This window comes from Homo sapiens, chromosome 3 (genome assembly GCF_000001405.40).
Source record: "Homo sapiens chromosome 3, GRCh38.p14 Primary Assembly".
In the NCBI taxonomy this organism is placed as follows: domain Eukaryota; kingdom Metazoa; phylum Chordata; class Mammalia; order Primates; family Hominidae; genus Homo; species Homo sapiens.
In genome coordinates, this window is record NC_000003.12 from 108,981,493 (window position 1) to 109,002,249 (window position 20,757).

At 37.6% G+C, this 20,757-nt stretch overlaps 1 protein-coding gene across 11 annotated transcripts in view; it reads right to left on the reverse strand.

Annotated features, from left to right (window-relative positions):
- The window catches only part of MORC1 (MORC family CW-type zinc finger 1), a 159,887-nt gene that overhangs the window by 23,245 nt on the left and 115,885 nt on the right, over positions 1 to 20,757 (reverse strand). For all 11 annotated transcript variants that reach the window (NM_014429.4, XM_005247362.3, XM_047447968.1 and 8 more), the window contains 3 exons: positions 19,065 to 19,166; positions 5,388 to 5,457; positions 3,224 to 3,290 (listed from right to left, as the gene is read on the reverse strand). In NM_014429.4, coding sequence (NP_055244.3) covers positions 3,224 to 3,290; positions 5,388 to 5,457; positions 19,065 to 19,166 — 239 coding nt within the window. The remainder of the gene's footprint in view (positions 1 to 3,223; positions 3,291 to 5,387; positions 5,458 to 19,064; positions 19,167 to 20,757) is intronic.

Consider the following 20,757-nt stretch of genomic DNA (forward strand, 5'->3'; position numbering starts at 1 on the left):
ATTAAAGAAGTCTTTTTCTTTAACCATTTTAGGGATGTTAAAGATTCATTCATGTTGGCATTGAGGTTGAAGGGTAAAAAGTACTATACTAGAGCACAGGAGATTCCTCTCTAAACCTCTGTTTCTTGTTCTGTTGAATAATAATAGGGCCTACCTTATAGAGTTGTACTGAGGATATACAAAGAATGTAGCTCAATGTTTAGTGTAAGTGGTCAGTAAATAATACCTATTTTTGTTGTTATGATCATCTTTATCATCACCATCATTAGTAATGCATTTGATAAGTTTCTTCCATTAAGATTGTTTTTCCCTAGAAGAAAACCTAGGCAATACCATTCAGGACATAGGCATGGACAAGGACTTCATGACTAAAACACCAAAAGCAATGGCAACAAAATCCAAAATAGACAAGTGGGATCTAATTAAACTAAAGAGCTTCTGCACAGCAAAAGAAACTACCATCAGAGTGAACAGGCAACCTACAGAATGGGAGAAAATTTTTGCAATCTATACATCTGACAAAGGGCTAATATCCAGAATCTACAAAGAACTCAAACAAATGTACAAGAAATAAACAACCCCATCAAAAAGTGGGTGAAGGATATGAACAGACACTTCTCAAAAGAAGACATTTATGCAGCCAACAGACACATGAAAAGACGCTCATCATCACTGGTCACCAGAGAAATGCAAATCAAAACCACAATGAGATACCATCTCACACCAGTTAGAATGGCGATCATTAAAAAGTCAGGAAACAACATGCTGGAGAGGATGTGGAGAAACAGGAACGCTTTTACACTGTTGGTGGGAGTGTAAACTAGTTCAACTATTGTGGAAGACAGTGTGACAATTCCTCAAGGATCTAGAACTAGAAATACCATTTGACCCAGCAATCCCACTACTGGGTATATACCCAAAGGATTATAAATCATGCTACTATAAAGACACAATGCACACGTATGTTTATTGTGGCACTATTCACAATAGCAAAAAAACACTGCATGTTCTCACTCATAGGTGGGAATCGAACAATAAGAACACTTGGACACAGGGTGGGGAACATCACACACGGGGACCTGTCGTGGGATGGGGGGGGCAGGGGGAGGGATAGCATTAGGAGAAATACCTAACATAAATGACGAGTTAATGGGTGCAGCAAACCAACATGGCACATGTATACCTATGTAACAAACCCACACGTTGTGCACATGTACCCTAGAACTTAAAGTATAAAAAAAAAAAAAAAGAAGAAGAAGAAGAAAGAAAGAAACGATCACCCAGATCAAGTTATGGGACATTTTCACCAGCCCAAAAAGTCGTTAAGGCCCCTTTCCAGTCAATCCTCACCCATTCCCACTTTGGCAATCACCATTCTGATTTCTATCTCCATGGATTATTTTTGCTTCTTCGTGAAATTCACATAAAGGAATATACTAGTTTTGGTTTTTTTTTAAATGCAAAAAAAAAAAGATTGTTTTTCGTGGACTGTTTCTAACATTCATATTGTATTTACAAGTCAACAGTGATTCCAAAAAAAAAACAATCTCATAAAGACCAAAAAGTATTACATGAAATAATATATACATGCATACACACACCTGCATACACACAAATGTGTTTTAGTTTTTGGATGATTCTTAAATTGTAAAGCAAATTTTCATAAATAATTCTAAGTCAAAGTATTGGCCATGAGAAGACCTGGCAACAGCACTGGGGAAAAAAAGTTACATCACTTATTTAATCAACAAATATTACTGAGTGCCAAGTATGAGTCAGTGTCATTCTGGATATCAGAGACACAGGGATAAGCAAGACAGTCCCTACTCTCATGGAGTGCATTGGCATCTAGTGAAAAATAGAGAAAATAAGCAAGCTAAAATTAAAAAATGGTAAAAAGAAATAGGTGGTAAAGGAGATACTTTAAAATAGTAATACACGCTTTGAAAAAAATAAAACAGGATGATAAAAGTGTGACTTGTCAGAAATGAGATGGGCTACTTTAGATGGAGTTGTCAGAGAAGACCTTTCAAAAGCTTAGAATTATGAAGAAGACAAGAAGGCCTCTATCCTTTAGGAACCTGTATGCAATGGGAAGACAGAGATTCAAACAGATAACTTCACTTGACTGTGATCACTGCTCACCACTGCATGTCAGATCACAGAATTTAACAAATAACTACGGAACAAATTACAATATAATCTCATCATTGCAACAGTGACTCTGTGAATACCTGAGTTTGGTGAGGAGAGTCAAGGAGACCCTAAAGAAGGGAACACTTGAACTGAGACTTAAATGAAAGGGTAACTGACACTGGCATATGAGTTGCTGAGGGCATTCAAGTAAAGGAAGTGGTACAGACAAAGGGGGGATGAGAAGATGTAATAAAAGAGAACTACTAGTAATTTAGAACCCTTTGGGAAGCAAAGTGGGGGCTAAAAGTAGAGGCATGAGAGAAGAGGATCTGTGCCATGCTAAGGAGTTTGTGACTTACCTTAAAAGTAGTAGGGGCTGAAAAGGCTTTGGAGTGGAAGAGTGAAGTGATGAGGTTTGAGTGCTGGATTGACTCACTACCCTGTCAGCAAGTGCAGGAAAATAGCCCCTCTCTGTTTTTTCTTGCTCTTAATTCAGTGTGCTCCTATGCAAAGAGCACAGGATTTGGATTCAGAGAAACTGGGTCTGAATGCCTGGAAAGCAGCTTAGATGGGTTTGTACAGAGGATAAGAGTTTGCTTCCTTTAAAACATTCTTTTAATTCTATTGGATATCCAAAACATTCAGCTGATTTCATTTTAAAAGTGATAAAATTCTCATGTCAAAAAAATTCTAGCACACAATGATTATAATTACATGTATGTATGACAATAAGATAATGAACCACAGAGAAAAAAAAATCAGTTAATGATTTCATAATCATACCTTATATATGTGTGACATTTTCAGTTCTTTGACTACATTAAAGTAATTTGAATTGGTTACTTGCTGTGGGTAGGAAGTTAAGCCAGCTCCATTTCATTATTTCCAGTTCTTCACGAAAGAAATGAAAAGGTTTGGGGGTAAGGTGTATTGCTAATTCTTTCACATCTCTGTTGTAAAATTTGGTTCCATTCTTGATTGCTTTTGTTGCTATTATTTCCTTTCTTCTTGTATTTAAACATTGATAATTACTTTTCAGCAGGATAATTGCACTCACTTGGAATTTGTATAACTGTAGTACACTCACCTTTTCCAGCTAGGTAATGAAGAGCTTCTTTTCATTGCTAGAACATCATTGCACAGCTCCTGTTTTTCTTCAAAAGAACATAGACAAACAATCGCATTTGGATGATCACACAATAAACTGAACCAAAAGAAATGTTAGCAGTTCATTAACTACCTCTGTATAATATGGATTTGTATTGAAACATCCATTTATAAAACTGTACCAGTTGTAACGAGATCTATAATATGTTCTTAAGGTAGTTTATAATGTTTTAAAATAAAGTTTATGTAGTATATATAGTTATCCAAGAGAGTGTAGCTTTTTTTTGGTAATTTTTAAATGGACATTTTTTACCAGAGCCTGGAGTATGATCAGAACTGTTGATTCCCTGCTTTCACCAGCCTCTACCAAGACAACCATCTTCCCCCAATAACCCACTCTCTCCTATTTGGGGTTCAGGTTCAAAGACATTCTGACAGATCCCGATGAAAAATGTGTCTCCAGTAGGAAAGTGAACTTTAAAGCAGGAAGAGACCTAGAGTCATTTAGTTAGTCTTCTCACTCAGAGGACCTCAGAATTATAGGTTCACAGAACTTGGTGATTTATTTCCAGCTCACAGCAAAGCAGAAATTCTATGATCCACTTGGATTGTTTTAAGAGTGTCTTGGGGACAGTATAAGCAATGAGTCAATGTGTCCTTCTTCCATGTAGAAGTCTTTATTACAACTGTCCAGATATCTTGTTCCACCAAGTAAACCTTTACCAAGAAGTTTAGGGTTATTGAAGGCTAAGTAGAAGAGGACATCAACAAGCAAAGTTCTAGATGGTGGGTAAATGGCTGAGGATCTGCCTGACCCTTTTAAGGAAAAAGAATGAATGGACAGATGTTTTCCAACCATGCTGTAGGCACCATTGGTTTTACTCACTGACTTGCAATGCAAAGTGAAAATTTTTAACCCAACAGCTAACTAATTCAAAATAATAGTCATTTGAAAACATTTCACAATTTGTTCCTGCCAAACCTAGGATGAGTATTTAAAATTAAATATTAATTTTAGGATAAAATTGTATTAGCAATTTTTCTAGTACAATTTGGAAATCCAACAGAACCATACTTGAAGTCACAGTAGTAGTTTGAACTGTCTATAAAAGATTGGCTTTAAAATTAAGACACCCTTACAAAAGAAATCCTGATGGTGGAATTGCAAATTATTGTAATTAAGATGAAAAAGAAAAAGTGTGATTTCTTAGGGACCTCACTAATGGGTTCAAACATAAAGTTGTGAATGAATAGCTGATTAGGTTACCTAAGCAACAAAGTATGAAGGAAGGAAAAACGTGCCACCAAAAGAGAACATAAAACCATGGCATGGATTGATAAAGAAAAGGATTGGGAATGATGAAACCAAATGAGCTGAGACTAAGAAGACTAAGATCTTTAAAACTTATTTCAAAAGAAGATGAAGACAATGAAAATAATGGATGTGTTTCTTGGGTCCAATGGTATAATATCAAAATTAAAAGATAATGGCATAATAACATTAGAATGCATAATAAAAATTACAGTAATAATAATGAGCACTAAGAAAATAAAATATTTTGAATCCAGTTTGTTTTCAGCTTCTCTATCCACAGAATTATTACTGGATTGAATACTATCAGATGGAAACTTCATGCCTTAAATAAGTTCCAGTCTTTTACCTGAGACACATTACATCCCCTGGGCATGAAAAAACTAATAAATGTGTTTGTTGAACTACTTTTAGGGACCTCAGAAGAATCACGAAAAGCAGAAAGTTACTAAAAGATGAAAAAACGGGGACTGTCATCATCATAATTTTCAAAACAGATTTTGAAAATTATTGACCTGATATCAATCCTAATCAAAATTAGAAGGAGAATTCAAGACAGAGAGTGGCATAAGTCTATGGAAATTTCAGGCAGTGTGGCAGTGCTGGGGACACTGTCCTCAGCCAGAAAGTGTCTCTCTGCCCCGTCAAAACACACAAGGTTGGCAGCTCACCCTCTCTCTACTCCTCTCACTTCTAGAACAACAAACTTAATTTTTTAAAATCCAAGTTGCTGACAAACTTCTGATCTATATATCAGGCTGTCAAGCCATATTGAAAATGTCTCAAACATTATAGCTAATATATATATATACATGAGCTGATTTTTTTTTACCTTGGTTTAAAAGAGGAATTTCCTTTTTTTCTTGTTTCAATGAAACATCAGTGTTGCTTTTATCTGAAACCTGAAAAACAAGCTCTTTATTTAAAACTGTACAAAAACATAGGACATATTATAAACTTGACAAAAGACCTTGAAAAGCAGTGTCCCCAGCAGAAAAGAAATCATAATGTTAGCAGCAGTAAAGCTATGCACTTTTTATAAAGGGAACAAATGGTACATGTACAAAACGATAATCGCATAAATCTCAAGGATGATTGCATTATCATAGTCATGTTTACTCATTTGATTTCTTTAAAGGGATTTTTGTATTTCTACTAATATTTGTGCAGATATTTTAAAAATTGATATTACACATTGATGTAACAATGTCTACAACAAATGGGTCAAGTATTTGATTCACCAGCAACAACCATTGAGCCTCTATCGTTTTGAGGAAGCTTAGGGTACCTCTGGTTGCTGCAAAGCAGACAGAGTAGGAGCTCAGCATCCCTGCAATGAAAACTTTGAAGAGTTTGGGGCTGGGGCCTGTAGTCCCAAAGCATAATAGATAAGAAGATGGGGAAAGGGAGTTGACCTGGAATACTGGGGGATGGGATATCTCATCTTCTGACAGAATCCCAGGCCAGTTGCCTGAAAGGGGCTGCAGAGCCTTAGTGTGTTGATTGTTGGAGCCAGGAGGGTTACTGGCACCTGGAGAGAGAGGATGGATATGTGCTGGTGTGCGATTGGGAGGCTGAGAGGGTGGGAGTGGATGGGGGACATTTGAGGGGTGGAATGTACCATTAATAAGCCAGGTATATCATCACTTTGGGAATCCTGTTAAGATCCATTTTACAAGGCTCACATAAAGCTGACTTACACTTTGGGAATATACCTTAGATGAGAGAGAGAGAGAGAATGTGTCTGTTTATGCCTGCGGGGAAAGACACCCAGAATGCTCCCTCTATGTATTTTGTAAAACTGTGAGAAGCTGGAGGAACAGGCAGTTATGAAAGAAAGAAAATGAAGAAAGCAAGCAGAAGGCAAAAGCTCCTGTCTGCTCCTTGTTCCGAAGACCCCTGAACACGCACTGATACGCACGCAACCATGTCCCCATCTGTTACTTCATGTAAGATAGGGAGCTGTCAGGTTTTTTGAAGTTTGCTCATTGTGGACATATCTTTCATCTTTCATGCCCTCTCTAACCTGCTAAACAAATGTAGTCTAGAGAGGATGTCAACTCTCTTTTTTTTCCCCTCCCAGGAAATAAAGGAGTATTTTTACGTAGCATTCTGGAAACTGTGCTCTCTCAGGAAGCAGGTTAAATGGGCACATGTGTAGCCTAGCAACAAAATAACTGTGTAGCTGCCTATCATTGCCATTTTCCATTTCACCTAAATCAAGAGCAAGAAAAGCCTTATGGATAAGGGGAAAATAAATAAGACTACTTCTAAGCTACTTTTGTCTATTTCAAAAAATTTTTGTACTTAAACTGTAAATAAGTTCCTGCCCCAGGAAATAATAAACATGCATATTTTTAAAGATTCATTTTGAAAAAAATCTTGAAAGTGACCTTAAAGTGTATGTTTTATTTACTTCTGATTAACATAAAATTTAAAGTTTTCTTCTGATGCACTGATATATAAGGAAAATCTACATGATATTAAGTGTCTCCAACTTCAGACTAAAGACTTTTCAGACCAGTTTATAAGCAGCATAGACTATTATCAACAACAGCTAATAGGAACCACAAGATAAGCTTATGAGAGGAACTATTTAATGTCTTTTCCTATAAGCACTTTGTTATAATCCATGATGATTATAACAAAATGTGTTAATTTTCTTTGGTAACTTTCTTTTATGATGAAATCAAACAAGATGAAAGTATCCAAGGTTAATGAAAATGACAGCACTCCCAGAAGAGAAATTTTGTTGTTGGTTTTATTAATACAGCCTCACGAAATTAATTATGTTTGTATTCTATTGTTTAGTTCTCTGCTTTGAGCTCTAAAGGGCTGTTTTTCCTAGGATCAGATATGCCTTCTTTCCCCAAAAATGTTACTTGTACAAAGCTCTGCCATCTCTATAACATGAAAAATTTCTTTTATTTTCCTTTGCTGTATTATCTTTATTCTGATGTTTAAAAGATTTTTGGATAAATGATTTAAAGCCTACAGTATTTTCTTTGAAATAACATTGTGTAAATCTGATTTTATAGGATGCTGCCTTCTATTACAATATAGTTGAGGGTCTGAATTTTTTCAAGATGAGACAAGAAAACAGACAGTTGTTTTTTCGATTATGTTATTTGTATATTTGATCTTACTTACAAAGGTCTTTCATTTACATTAATTGGTTTCCTTATAGAAATGTTCTTCAGTCACTTAGGCTTAACTGTGTCTCATATTCTGAAGCTGGAGGAAATCTCTTGCCTGAGATTTTTACCTATATCATGAAATAGACAACACCTCATACAAAGTAAATGAGATTATAGCTAAGTCTTAACATAGAGTTTAAGACATCTTAATTAAAATTATGTTAACAATGAGCAGGATGGGATTTGTCAGTTCTCCAAGGGATGTGATGGATCAACATAATACTGCATGCTCAATTTTGTAAAGTATCTACTTAAGAAGATAAATAAATCATAAATAAGTCAGAGGAAAAAAGAACACGCCACAGGCAGCTGTGCAACACCTATTTAATTTCATTGCTGTTAAGGAAACTTAAAAACTGAGTGATATCACTTTATCTGATTTCTTTACTTCTACTCCTTTACCTCTCCACACCTACTTCAAGCACTTATTATTATGAAGGAGCCATAAGGACTATAAGACCAGTAAATACCTTTCTGCCAACTTCAAAGACCCCTTCTGTTTGCACTCGTCCACAGTTAACATTATGTTCCAGGCCCTCCCCTTCAGTCAGTAATTTATTCACTAACATTGGGTTTCTAGTGTGGGCCAGATACTACCACGGCGAAAAGTTCGAAGTCCTGCTGATATGGTTTGGCTGTGTCCCCACCCAAATCTCATCTTGAATTGTAGCTCCCATAATCCCCACCTGTCATGGGAGGGACCTGGTGGGAGGTAATTGAGTCATGGGGGCGGGTTTTTCCTGGCTGTTCTTGTGACAGTAAGTCTCATGAGATCTGATGGTTTTATAAAGGGCAGTTCCCCTACACATTCTCTCTTGCCTGCTGCCATGTAAGACATGCCTTTTCTCCTCTGCCTTCCACCACGATTGGAGGCCTCCCCAGCCATGTGGAATCTCTTTCTTTATAAATTATCCAGTCTCAGGTATTTCTTCATAGCAGTATGAAAATGGACTAATATACCTACCTTTATGGAACACATTTTCTACATTCAATAAATAAAAATATAAATAATATACTGTCAGGTAATGGAAGTTCTGTGAAGAAAAATAACACAGGTGAGAGAGAGTGATGCAAGTTCCTGCATAATCTGACCCCCCCACCTCTCTGTCGTCATCTCACATCTCCATCTGGCTCTTCAGAAGCTCTTTTACAAATATGCCAGGCACACTCCTCTCACGTCTTTGGCTTGTTGTTTTATAGACTTGTTTGTTCCCCCAGCTTTTTCCTAGTCTTTCCTAAGCATCCACTCAGTGGGGCCATCTGCGGTCACTCTACCTAAAATTGCAACTCCTGTTCATCACATGCAACACAGATACTTCCTATTCCCTTCCCATGCTTTCTTTTTCTCCCTAATACTTGTCATTATCTACCATACACCATATTTACTTATTCATCTTGTCTATTGAATGATCCCCCAACTAGAATGGAAGCTCTGCAAAGGCAGGGAGGATCGTCTGTTTTTACCCCTGCTGGATCCCTATTGTTTAGGACAGTAACTGATGTTCAAGATAGTCACAGAATAAAAGAAAGTAAAAAAAAATCAAGTCATGAAAATACATGTGTGCTGCTGACAGTGGTGATGGGGGTGGTGTGGGTAGTGGAGTCCAGGTATATGAACGACAAAGGAAAAGGCTTAGGTTTATGTTTCTCTCTTTCTCTCTCTCTCTCTCTCTCTCTCTCTCTCAACTGTATTATTTTTCTTCACAGAATTTATATGACCTGATATTATATTACATATTTATACTTTTATTTATTTAATATTCCTTAGGGTACTGGAGGCCAACAATGGTCAGGGTGGCTACAGTAGACTAAGAGAAGGAATGAGCAGTGGGGTCTGTAGCCTCAAAAGACATCAGGCCAGGACATCTAGGGCCTTGAGGGCCACAGCAAAGTCACTGAGTTTTGTTCTAAGTATGAGCAGAAGCCATGGAAGTGTTCTGAGTAGGAGAATGACATAATATGACATATTCTGGATGATATACTCAGATTTTTACACTGTAGAGGCCAAGAGAAACAGTAAGATGATTTATAGGAGTACCGCTGTAGTCCAGGTAAGAGATGTCAGTGTGTTGGCCAAGGTGGTAGCTATGGAGGTGGTAGAATATGTTCTATGTTTAAAGGTTGATTCAGCAAGATTGCCTGATGGGTTGAGTGCAGGATGAGAAAGGAGGAGAGAAATTCAGGATGATTCCCAGGTTTTGGCCAGAGTAGCAGTGAATGGTGGTATCATTTACTCAGTTAAGGAAGCATGAAGATATTTCTTGGAATTCTTTCCTCTCTTGATCTTCATAGCCTTCTATGTCTCAACTCTCTCTGGGTAGTTCATCCTTTTTCTGTCTACTCTCAACTTCTCAAGGAACCTATTAAAATTTCTGGAGTTAAGCTGTCACACTTTAGGCAAACAATGGCTTCATCGGCATCATCAACCCTAACTTTTCACCTTTGCTCCAGTTATTTCCAACTGATCTCATGACACACGTGAATGTCTTGCTGAAACTTCAAATCCTCAGTCCTATCCAGTCCTATCTTTGACCACTTGGTCAGATTCCCCATCAATGCTCTTCATTCTATTCACAGTACTGTTTTTGTTCCAGATTGCCATCTCAGAACTGCTTTCATTATTTAGTTTTCCATATTTCTTACCAAGCTGTACTACCTTTCTTTTAAAATTGCTTAAGTTTTTCTTGTCTTTCTATACTACGATTTTCAGGAAGCATCCATCCTACGTGTTTTTGTTGGTCTTTAGTTTCTCCTTTTTACAGTCCAAGCCATTATCCCAATCTGATTAATTTTTTTAAACAAAATATCCATGATTAAGTGTTCCTTCTTAAAACCATCCCTAGGCCCTGCATGCTACTATCTCAATCACAAACTCTTTATCTGTCTTTCAAAGCTCTTTTCAATGTGATTCTAAGTTATCCAGACACAATTTTAGTATTTCTTAACAAATATCTCTTGTTATAATCAAAATGTTCTCTTCAGAGTTCCCTAAAATTACCATACACACTCTTGCTTCCACATCTCTGCCATGTAAATGTTCTACCTGGAATGGCTTCTCTCTTCTCTTCCTTTCTTAAAAGTTGTATCCACAACTTTTAAAGACAAGTATACATCCTACTCTTTCCAAAACATCTTTTTTGTTATTACTCCAGCACATATTCTTCCTTCCTCTGAATAACTATTAACAGTAAGTTGCATACAGTTTATTTACTCTTACTACTGTCATCAAGTCAAGCATTTTATCTATATGACCCAGATAAGACTGGACCCTACAGCAGCCTTGGATTCTTACTTGATCCTTCTAAGCAAAACTCAAAACGTGACTCCATCTCCCAAAAACAAATCCAACTCTATAAAGCTTTGATAAACTTACAGATTTTACTAAAGATTATATTGGAAAATGGAGGAAATGATTACATGTAGCAAAAAATTGTATCAACTAAATAATTTTAACTTCTTCATCTGCTAACTGCCTCATCTCTCTCTGCACACCTGCAGCTTCTCCAGTTCTGCAGCTCCCGGTATTTTCACTTTTGGCAGTGCCCCTCTCCTCTTCTATCTTCCACATAAGCTCACTCTTTAAGCTCTCTTTTTCCACAAAGAAATTTTACTTTGTCAATTTTCATTCTCCTAGCTCACCCAATAAAGGCTGAATTTGTCTTCTTCAGAATTACAGAAGGTGGCTTTAAAAAATACTTTTTATAATGCAAATAATTATTTTCATTCTATCATGAATATAATTCTCATAACAACCTTGAGAATAGATGGCATTATTACTCTCGTTTTATATACAAGAAAACAGAATATCAAAATTTGACACAACTGACAAACCTCATGGAGGTCTGAATTTGAGCCTGGGTCAGCCTGTCAGAGTGTACAGCCTGTATCCTTTCCATAACATAATACTACCTCATGGTGTTGTAAAACTGTCTTAACCAATTTTTTTGTTCCTTCAGCACAACAATCAGATACTTGACTTTTTTGGTGTCCCTCAAAAATGTCTAACATAGTATTGTTCAATAAATTTGTTTTGATTAATTGGCTCGTGGTTGCTGGTAGTTCAGACTTTAGCACTTGAATATTTAGATTCCTTATAAGTCATCCACAAGGTTTTTCCTTAGATCAGGGACTATATCACACATTGTTTTTGTGTCTCTCCGTACGTTTGCTGGAGAACTGATGAACAATCCTGTGGAGGATGAGTATAGATGATCTTTCCTTCAAAGCCCTTAGGGCAGCTCTGGTTTGCATTTTGTAAGAGGGCTTCCCGTGAAATGTCTAGTATTATTAGCAATGATCATAGCATTATACAGATTCATAAAGAGGTAATGGTAGCATCATCAACCAGGAATGGTAGCATCATCAAAGCTGATGAGAAATCACCCGCTTTTGAAATTAAGGCAACTTCAGTAATCTGAAATTATGTTATTGTACTACCTGTACAGTTTTCTATTTTAAAAAGGCATTCTGTTGGGAGTCAGAAAAATGATGTGTATCTAGGGTGAATGCAGTTGATTTAGGGACTAATTTTGCAAGTTTTTGTTTTTCTTTTTTATCTGCTTTTAGGTTACTTTGTCACCTTTTCAGTCTCATTGTTATGATTCGCTATCATGTAGTACTGATGCCAAACACAGTACTTATAGTTGTTTTTCATTTGTTTTGGCCACCATAAAACATAAACCTAGACACGGTAGCAACTCATCAGCTCATCTAGATGTTCTCCAGTTTTTATAACATACCATGAAGGCCCTGGTAATGATCTTAGGGATTCAGAGTGCACTGATGCTTTTTCTAAGCTGGAATCTGCCTCTTTTGAAAGCTTCCCCAAAGAGCTGACCAGGTACAACTGGTAAATGACTTGGCTCAGTTCTGAGACAGGAAGATGGTTCCATCTACTCATTGCTATGTATCTTTCTTGAGCCTCAGAAAGTGCTCTGTTCTAGACACCAGAGGATACATGTTTCATAATAAATACAAGGTTTCATTGCCAAACTCCTGAAATACTTTTGTCAGCAGTGTTCTGACCATCACGTGCTTAAAAATGTCTATAGATTGGGAAAATGAAACACATCCCTCTGTCAGTCTGCTCTTGAGGCCAGCTGCAAGCCAAAAGAAGACCTAAATGACCACAGAGACAAAAGGGCCAGTCAGTCAATAAAAAAAATTGTATGGTTCCTGGTTATTAAATAGAAGGTCTATTCTAACCTTACTATAACCACACCATACAGATTCTTTCATGTCTTAGCAAATCTGGGTTTGCCTCTAACATTCAGAATAGTAACTGAAAGATTATTATTATAAAATATGAATAAACAACAAACACCAATATTTATGAGAAGGGTATATGTTGCTTCATGTTAGAATTAGAAAATTTCTACAATGTCGGTTTGGAGAGTGTGTTCCTCCAAGATGAAAAAAAGGCATGTACATGCCTTTTTTTAAATAAAGTCAGTACTTTTATCGCTCTGTCTTGAGCCTCAGCACATTATTGCTATTCAACTTCTCCAACTGCTGGCATCGGTAATTTTATTCCCCTGGTGTTCCTCAGTTTTGCGGCTCATTTCAAATTGATCATTTGCTTTCCTGGCCATCTATTGTGGTCTGCCAACCTATTCTTCCCAGTCACCTTTCAGAATAGATCCCCTAGGATGTTTAGTCTGTGTGGTTACTTCTTACCTCTCACCTGGTGATGTAATTTGGATGAGCTGTTTACTTCTTTGATAGGATGTAAGATTATCTAATCTCATTGTTTCATTTGTACTTTTATCGTTTTTATGAAGCATTGTATAGTAACACCTGATCAGAGTGCATCACTTTTGAGGGGCATGGAAAATACCAGATCCATTCCCAGATCCAGGGTGGTATGGAGTTTGCCTGGAGTAAAGTTGAACTGCCAGTTTATCACACAGCAGTGCACAGGAGTTTGTAACTATATCTAAACAAACCCTTAATTACAGCAGTACCACAGGACACTGTTCTTGCAATAACAGCAGAACTATAGCAACATCTACTCAGACACTGATCCTCCTGACAAAGGCTAGCATACCTATAAAAGGTGTGATTTAAAAAAAATTCCACTTCCTTCCCATCCGGGATTAACTGGGACAAATTTGAACTTTACACATGGGTTTGGAAATGCCTGAGACAGAACACACTTCAGAATACCCACTATTCATTAAAAAACAGGGCAGGACATGTGTTTTGAGCATGGAAGACAGAAAATAATAAGATTTTCTGGAGGCCAAAGGTAAAGCAACAACAGCTCATGGAAGGGGTTGGTGGTAAAGTTATGACCACAACCATATTACTAGAGTGATAATCTTGGACAAGAAAAATACTTTCTTTTTTTAGAAGCCAGGAATTAGTGGAGACCCCAAGAAGATGAGCCTCATGACTATGACTGGACTCTAGCTTGACTAGAAGGACAAAAGCTGGGTCTTAGAAGAAAAGAACTATTAATACATTGTTTAGGTCAGATTTAGGGTGAATATGGAGGGAAACGGGCTAAAGAGAGCTTAGGCTGGGCAAGGCATGGATGATGGATTGGTCTTTTAAAATTGATTCAAGACACTTGGCTGGAGATGCCCATCTAAAAAACTTTGGAAACACAAGCCAAAATGCTGAATGTTAGCCAGTGCCATATATCGGTGGACCTTGAAACTCTCATGCCTGAGTAAAGTGTATTTATGTACTTCAACTGACCCAAGTGGAATGGGGTGATTGAATTCATGTAGGGGACAGTTATGAAGGTGGGAGGTAAAGGGAGATGTCATATGGGGAGTGATTACAAAAGGAGGAGCAAAGTCAAACAGCTGGGGCTCAAGGTGCCTACTTCCTGGCAGTGTGACCTTTAGCAAGTTTAATTTTTCCCATCTGTAAAATAGGGGTGAAAAGAATACTTGCCTCTCAGGTTATGAAGAGGTGAGATGAGATGATGGAAGAACAGTACCTGAATTTCATCATGGCCACACAGAAAGAGAAAAGCCTGACGCTACCACAATACACATGCCTGTGCACATGTGCGCGTGCGTGCGCGCGCGCGCACACACACACACACACACACAACTAGAATTTCTGGACAATTCAGCTTTATAGGGTCAGAGATAATAAATATGAACCACCCTAGTTACCCTAAAATGGTGGAGGGAGCTGTAGCTGTGCTAACAAGATTATGAAAAATAAGAAGTTTGCTGAAATGCAGAGTCCCATACCAAATATCTCCGAAGGTCCAACTGAGAGGCTATCTAGAGCATTTGGAAAAGGATTAAGATTTTGTAAAGAAAAACTCCTCATTATTTTCCTGGCAGTTTTTTAATCTCCAGAAAATGCCTGGAGCTTTAACCAAATCCCAGTTGGAAACTTCTACAGCTCCAAATGATGTGCAAGGTCTTGCCAAGAACATGCTCATTGCATGGACTTTGAAAATGAATGGTTCACACTGGCTAAAAGGCCAAGCACAAACTAATATCAAAAACAAAAAATGCGGCCGGGAGTAGTGGCTCATGCCTGTAATCCCAGCACTCTGGGAGGCTGAGGCGGGCGGATCATGAGTTGAGGAGATGGAGACCATCCTGGCTAACATGGAGAAACCCTGTGTCTACTAAAAATAAAAAAAATTAGCCGGGCATGGTGGCGGGTGCCTGTAGTCCCAGTTACTCGTGAGGCTGAGGCAGGAGAATGGCGTGAACCTGGGAGGCAGAGCTTGCAGTGAGCCAAGATCGCGCCACTGCACTCTAGCCTGGGTGACAGAGCGAGACTCTGTCTCAAAAAAAAAAAAAAAAAAAAAAAAAAATGCTGTGGAAGCAATACCAACAAAGAATATGAGCAGAAGTAACTAGAGATGGGACAAATGAAGCTCCACACCACATGAATGACTTGGAGCATGTTAAATGGGAGGCATGGTGCAGAACGAAATGCCAGACATTAGAAATGATCAGAAAATAAGGATTGTCCCACTGGGAAAAGAGGAAACAAGAAGAATGTGGTTTTTAAAAATTGCTTCAACAAGGCTGGGCATGGGGCTCATGCCTGTAATCCCACCACTTTGGGAGGCCAAGGTGGGTGGATCACTTGAGGCCAGGAGTTTGGGCCAGCCTTGCCAAGATGGAAAAACCCTGTCTCTATTAAAAATACAAAAATTAGCTGGATGTGGTGGTGCATGTAATTCCAGCTACTCGGGAGGCTGAGGCAAGAGAATCGCTTACAGTGAGTGGAGATTGTGCCACTGCACTCCAGCCTGGGTGACACAGGGAGACTCTGTCTCAAAAAAATTTAAAAGGTAAAATAAAAAAATAAAAAATTGCTTCAACAGACCACAGGCCTTAGAATAAAAACAATAAGAGCATTCAATCAAGAATTGAGGGACTCAGTGGGGGTAGGGAGGGAAGTTAGGAAAATAAATAAAACATAACAGTGAGCTACAGCAGTGAGGTAATTTTGGAGAATGAATGATCAGATGGCTAAAATAATCAGCAATGGTAGGGTTAAATATGAATCTGGAAAGTAACAAATACTTTTTTTTTCATTTCACTAGAAATTGCATAACTATTAGTACAAGAACCAGAGTGAGATGTTGCCTGAAACATGGAACAGAGAAAAATAAAGTGCCTTAATATGGAAAAAAAAATCCTTTCAAAAGGCAGACTGATAGACATTTATTGATTTTATTAACATAGCAAAAACAAATCTGCCAGTCAGAATGGAGTTATTGTCCCGAAAGCCTGAAAAAAAGTACAGTTATAGGAGCACAGGTAGGCATAGGGCAAAGGTTCGCTGAGTCAGTGCTCTTTTAGTATTATAGTTGCATTGGTAACATCATCTCTGTCATGTCTCTTGGGGAGGTGGACACAGCAGGCTGTCTTAGCTGGACGCCTTTTAAATATTCAGGCACCTAGCTCACCAGCAACTGTCAGATTATAATTGGCCAGCCCATGCAGATGGGCATAACGGGACAGAACGCATAGCTTAAGTCAATATGTGCCTTCCAGTTGAACTGAAGCTGTATTTATCTTTTAAATGACTGAACTGATGTTATGCTATAATACCACAGTTTCATGAATTTGGATAATGTGAAGTCATCCCCGTGAGATGAAGTTTCTTTGGTGTGCTGAATATACCATATTTCTTAGTTTCTTACACCTAAAAATAAGACCCTAGGTCCCACAACCAGTAAACTTGCCAAAATAATAAATACCACCTTTGGGGGTCAGGGGAGGGAGTCTTTTGTGGTAGCTAATTATTCTTCCTTAAGTGACAACCTCCTGCACCACCATTAGCACTGAGTGCCTTCCTTCTTGAAATTTAATAGACACAGGGGCACATACACTCACACGTGCACACAGACACATGCTATAATTAGAAGATAATTAGGAAGGAGCACGGGGGATGGGATGATCTTTTTTTAATTTCTAGGTTTAAGAAAGTACAGACAGACAACTTTGAGGAGCAATTATTTCCTACTTGAATTATTGCAACTACAGCCAAACAGAAATTAATGTGCATCTCTGGATAATACGTGTTTATCCAAGTTAATTAGACACCATGAGTATGAAAACAGACATCCTGCTAGGATCACAGAGACACTAATAAATCATACCACATAGCTACACACAAGTAATGTAAGAACTTGAGAACTATTACCTAAAAAGACAATATTTTAAATATAAACATCATCTCTAATTCCTGAAAAGGCACTTGCCAAAAGCTGTGTGCAAAGCTGAGAGAGGTGACAAAGTAAGGGCTCCATGAAAAACTCACACAGACTTTGAAACTTCTGAAAAGCAAGTGGTGAACAGTAATATTCACAGGTACAATTATATTACATTTTGCTTTGAAGAGGTCAAGAGAGGCGGCATTATTTACAACACCAGTTGCAGTTTTGTCTTTCTTTCTAGCCTCCGATTAAATTTTGACCCTTTTCCTTTTGAAAATACTTTGGTGTTTACTTTTTTCATTTAGTTGTTCTTTATTGTTAATAGTGAGGCTATTTCTGTTCCCATTCACAAATTATGTCTGCACCTTTTTAACATCCCTTCAAAGGGCTACTTCAAATAATTACAATTTATGCATGAAATCATATGATGTCTGGGAATAATGGGGGCAGGGAGGGAATATGGATGAAACAAGGCTGGCCACAAGTTGGTAAACACTGGAGCTGGGAAATGGGCACACAGGAGTTGGTTGCACTATGTTTAAAATTTTCCAAAATGAAAAAATTTTTAAATAAAACTTTCATTATAGTTACATCAGGTACCTTGTGACAATAACTTTCTGGTGAAGGACATTATCATAAGTTAAGCTAAAGTCAGAAGAAATGATATGTCTCTCATTGGCACAAGTGCAATTTAAACCTAATCCACAAATCTATATAGCATTTTGAGGGACCTTACCCTAAAGACACGTCCAAAGAGGCCAGGTCCTTTTCTAAATACTCTCACTTATCATGTCAATAATAGAACCACCTAGGCTACTGTAGTTACTCTTACGCGGGTTAAAGTTTAGCTATAAGCTTCTTGGCAATCAAGGTAAAAATGAAACTATAATGAGTAATAAAATTTATATTCAGATAAAAGAAAATACCAAATAGATTTTTCCCTGACATTAAATTCTAATGTGTAAATTACTTTTAGTGAGTTTTTTTTAACAGAAAGGACACTATATAACATAATGAACACCATGGCTTCACAGATGAAGCATTTCTTATATAGTCAGTCCTTGAATCATTTCCTCCTAAACACCAAGGGCTTTTTACACTTGGTTCAGTGAAGGCAAAGCAACTCGATTCTACAGAAGCCCAGATATGTATTCTTTGATATCAACTATCAAGTTAGAAATACGAACATATTATTTAAAGGAGAAAATGGGGAGCATGCCAATAATCCTTGAATACACTTTTCTCTGCCTAATTTAAGTCAATTCAGAATTAAACCTTCTGGTGAGAGTCCAAATTACAAATTACAGAAAGGTTCATATTCTTCGGATTTGGGAATGAGTTTTCACAATGACCTTCAAGTTATATATATAACTTTTGTATATTTTTGCCTATTTACATATATATTAAGGCTTTCTTACCCAGATAACTAAAACAGAAAGGTGCCGTGGACTAGGGGTGGAGATGTGTAAGTTCCAGATATATCCCTACTAGTTTATGTAGCCTTGAGCAAGTAACTTAAACTTTTCTGAGTCTTATTTCTTCATCTCAAAACTAGGTTTTCCAACTAAATGTTTCCACTACTTTGAGACACTAACAGATCCCTCTAATCTTTGTGAATATGAAAATCTCAAGGTGTCATTTAGTGTATAGTTTATCTCACCAGGATTATATCTGAATCACTCGTGTTCTCATCTTCAGTCAATACCTTACATTCCTCTACAAAGTTCAGACTCTGCTTCCTTTTCATTTCCCAAGAAGCGGCCTATAACAAGGAATTAACAAAAAAAATACAAGGATTAGTGGCAATCAATGGTACATACTAAACTACCTTCACTCTTCATTCTGCCTCTACTTACTGCAGACTTTTGTAGGATATATAGCGAAAATTCAATTTCCGATCTTTGTGTATGATAAGCGCTTGATAAGACTTAGAGCATATCTGCCTTCCTAATGCCATGCTGCTTAGGTTAATATTAAAATTAATTATATTTCCTGCACCTTCTCTGTTAGTGGTAATGCCTAGTGTGTTTATTGGACAGGATATTAGAAATTTACTACAAGTAATCTTCGAGTAATCAAATGTTGTTTCAATTACAGTTTAAAATCTGATTAAATTCATTTTTCAAGTGCTTATAAAGAATTTCACAATCTCCTGATTTATCCAGGAGAAAATTGGGTTTTCTAGATTTTCTTAAAGATATAATGTCTTCTGGAGTGAAATTAGCTTATCTTTCTTTTTATTTTTATTTTTTTTGAGATGGAGTTTCGCTCTTTCACCCAGGCTGGAGTGCAGTGGTGTGATCTTGGCTCACTGCAACCTCCACCTTCCAGTTTCAAGCAATTATCCTACCTCAGTCTCTAGAACAGCTGAGATTACAGGTGCCCACCACCACGCCTGGGAAATTAGCTTATCTTTCTAAGAGCTGATATACAATCTGTCACCATTTCTTCATCTTCCACTTAGCAGTAAATTCATTACTTTTAATGGCAAAAACAGCAATTACTTTTGCACGAATCTATAATCTTGTTTCTACCCTTTCTACTCCAACAACAAAAATACTCCTGAGATCATCCCTCTTACCTCTAAATCATTAAGCCAACAGACAATTTTTAGGCCTTTGGCCAGTTGAGTTGGCTTCTCAACAGAATTTAGCCTTCGTGACAGTCTCTCTTCAAATCACCCTTTTCCCCCATTTTGGCTTTAATGAAATAATAAATTCCTGGTTTCTTCTCTTACTGCTCTGGCAATTCCTTCACAATCTCTGTGCACATCTATACTCTCGTAGCTAGCCACAAAATGCTAAAATTCCTCAAGCTTCTGTCTAGTCCTTCTTTTCTTCTTACCCATTCAACCTCACTCATCCTTAGGTATGTAAATACCTCACAAGACTGTCTCCTATTTAAACCTCACCTCTGAAATCCAGACTCATGTATATGACTTTTCTCTTGGCACATCCTCTTGGAAGCCTCAAATTATGTAAGCTGAACTCATGCTGTTCTCCACAAGCCCAGTCACCTTCTACAATTCCCAATTTCAATTAATGGAATCACCATTCAACCTGGTGAAAGAACTCAAAATTCTGTAGTCATTCTGCCATTTTCCTCTACATGATCCTCTATATCCAATAAAGACTGCCTCCAGGAAAGGGCAGAGTTACCTCCTCCATCACCATCATCCTAGCCTACACCACTGTGATCTCTCCATCAGAGCATGGTCAAGTCTCCTAACTGCTCTGCCCACATTCACTTTTGTTAAGCATTATCTGTGAAACAGAAATACCATGTACTGGTTATCAGTTCCAGAGGAGGAGTCTCATAACTTCTGCCTATAGTATCTTGGTTATTGGAGTTGC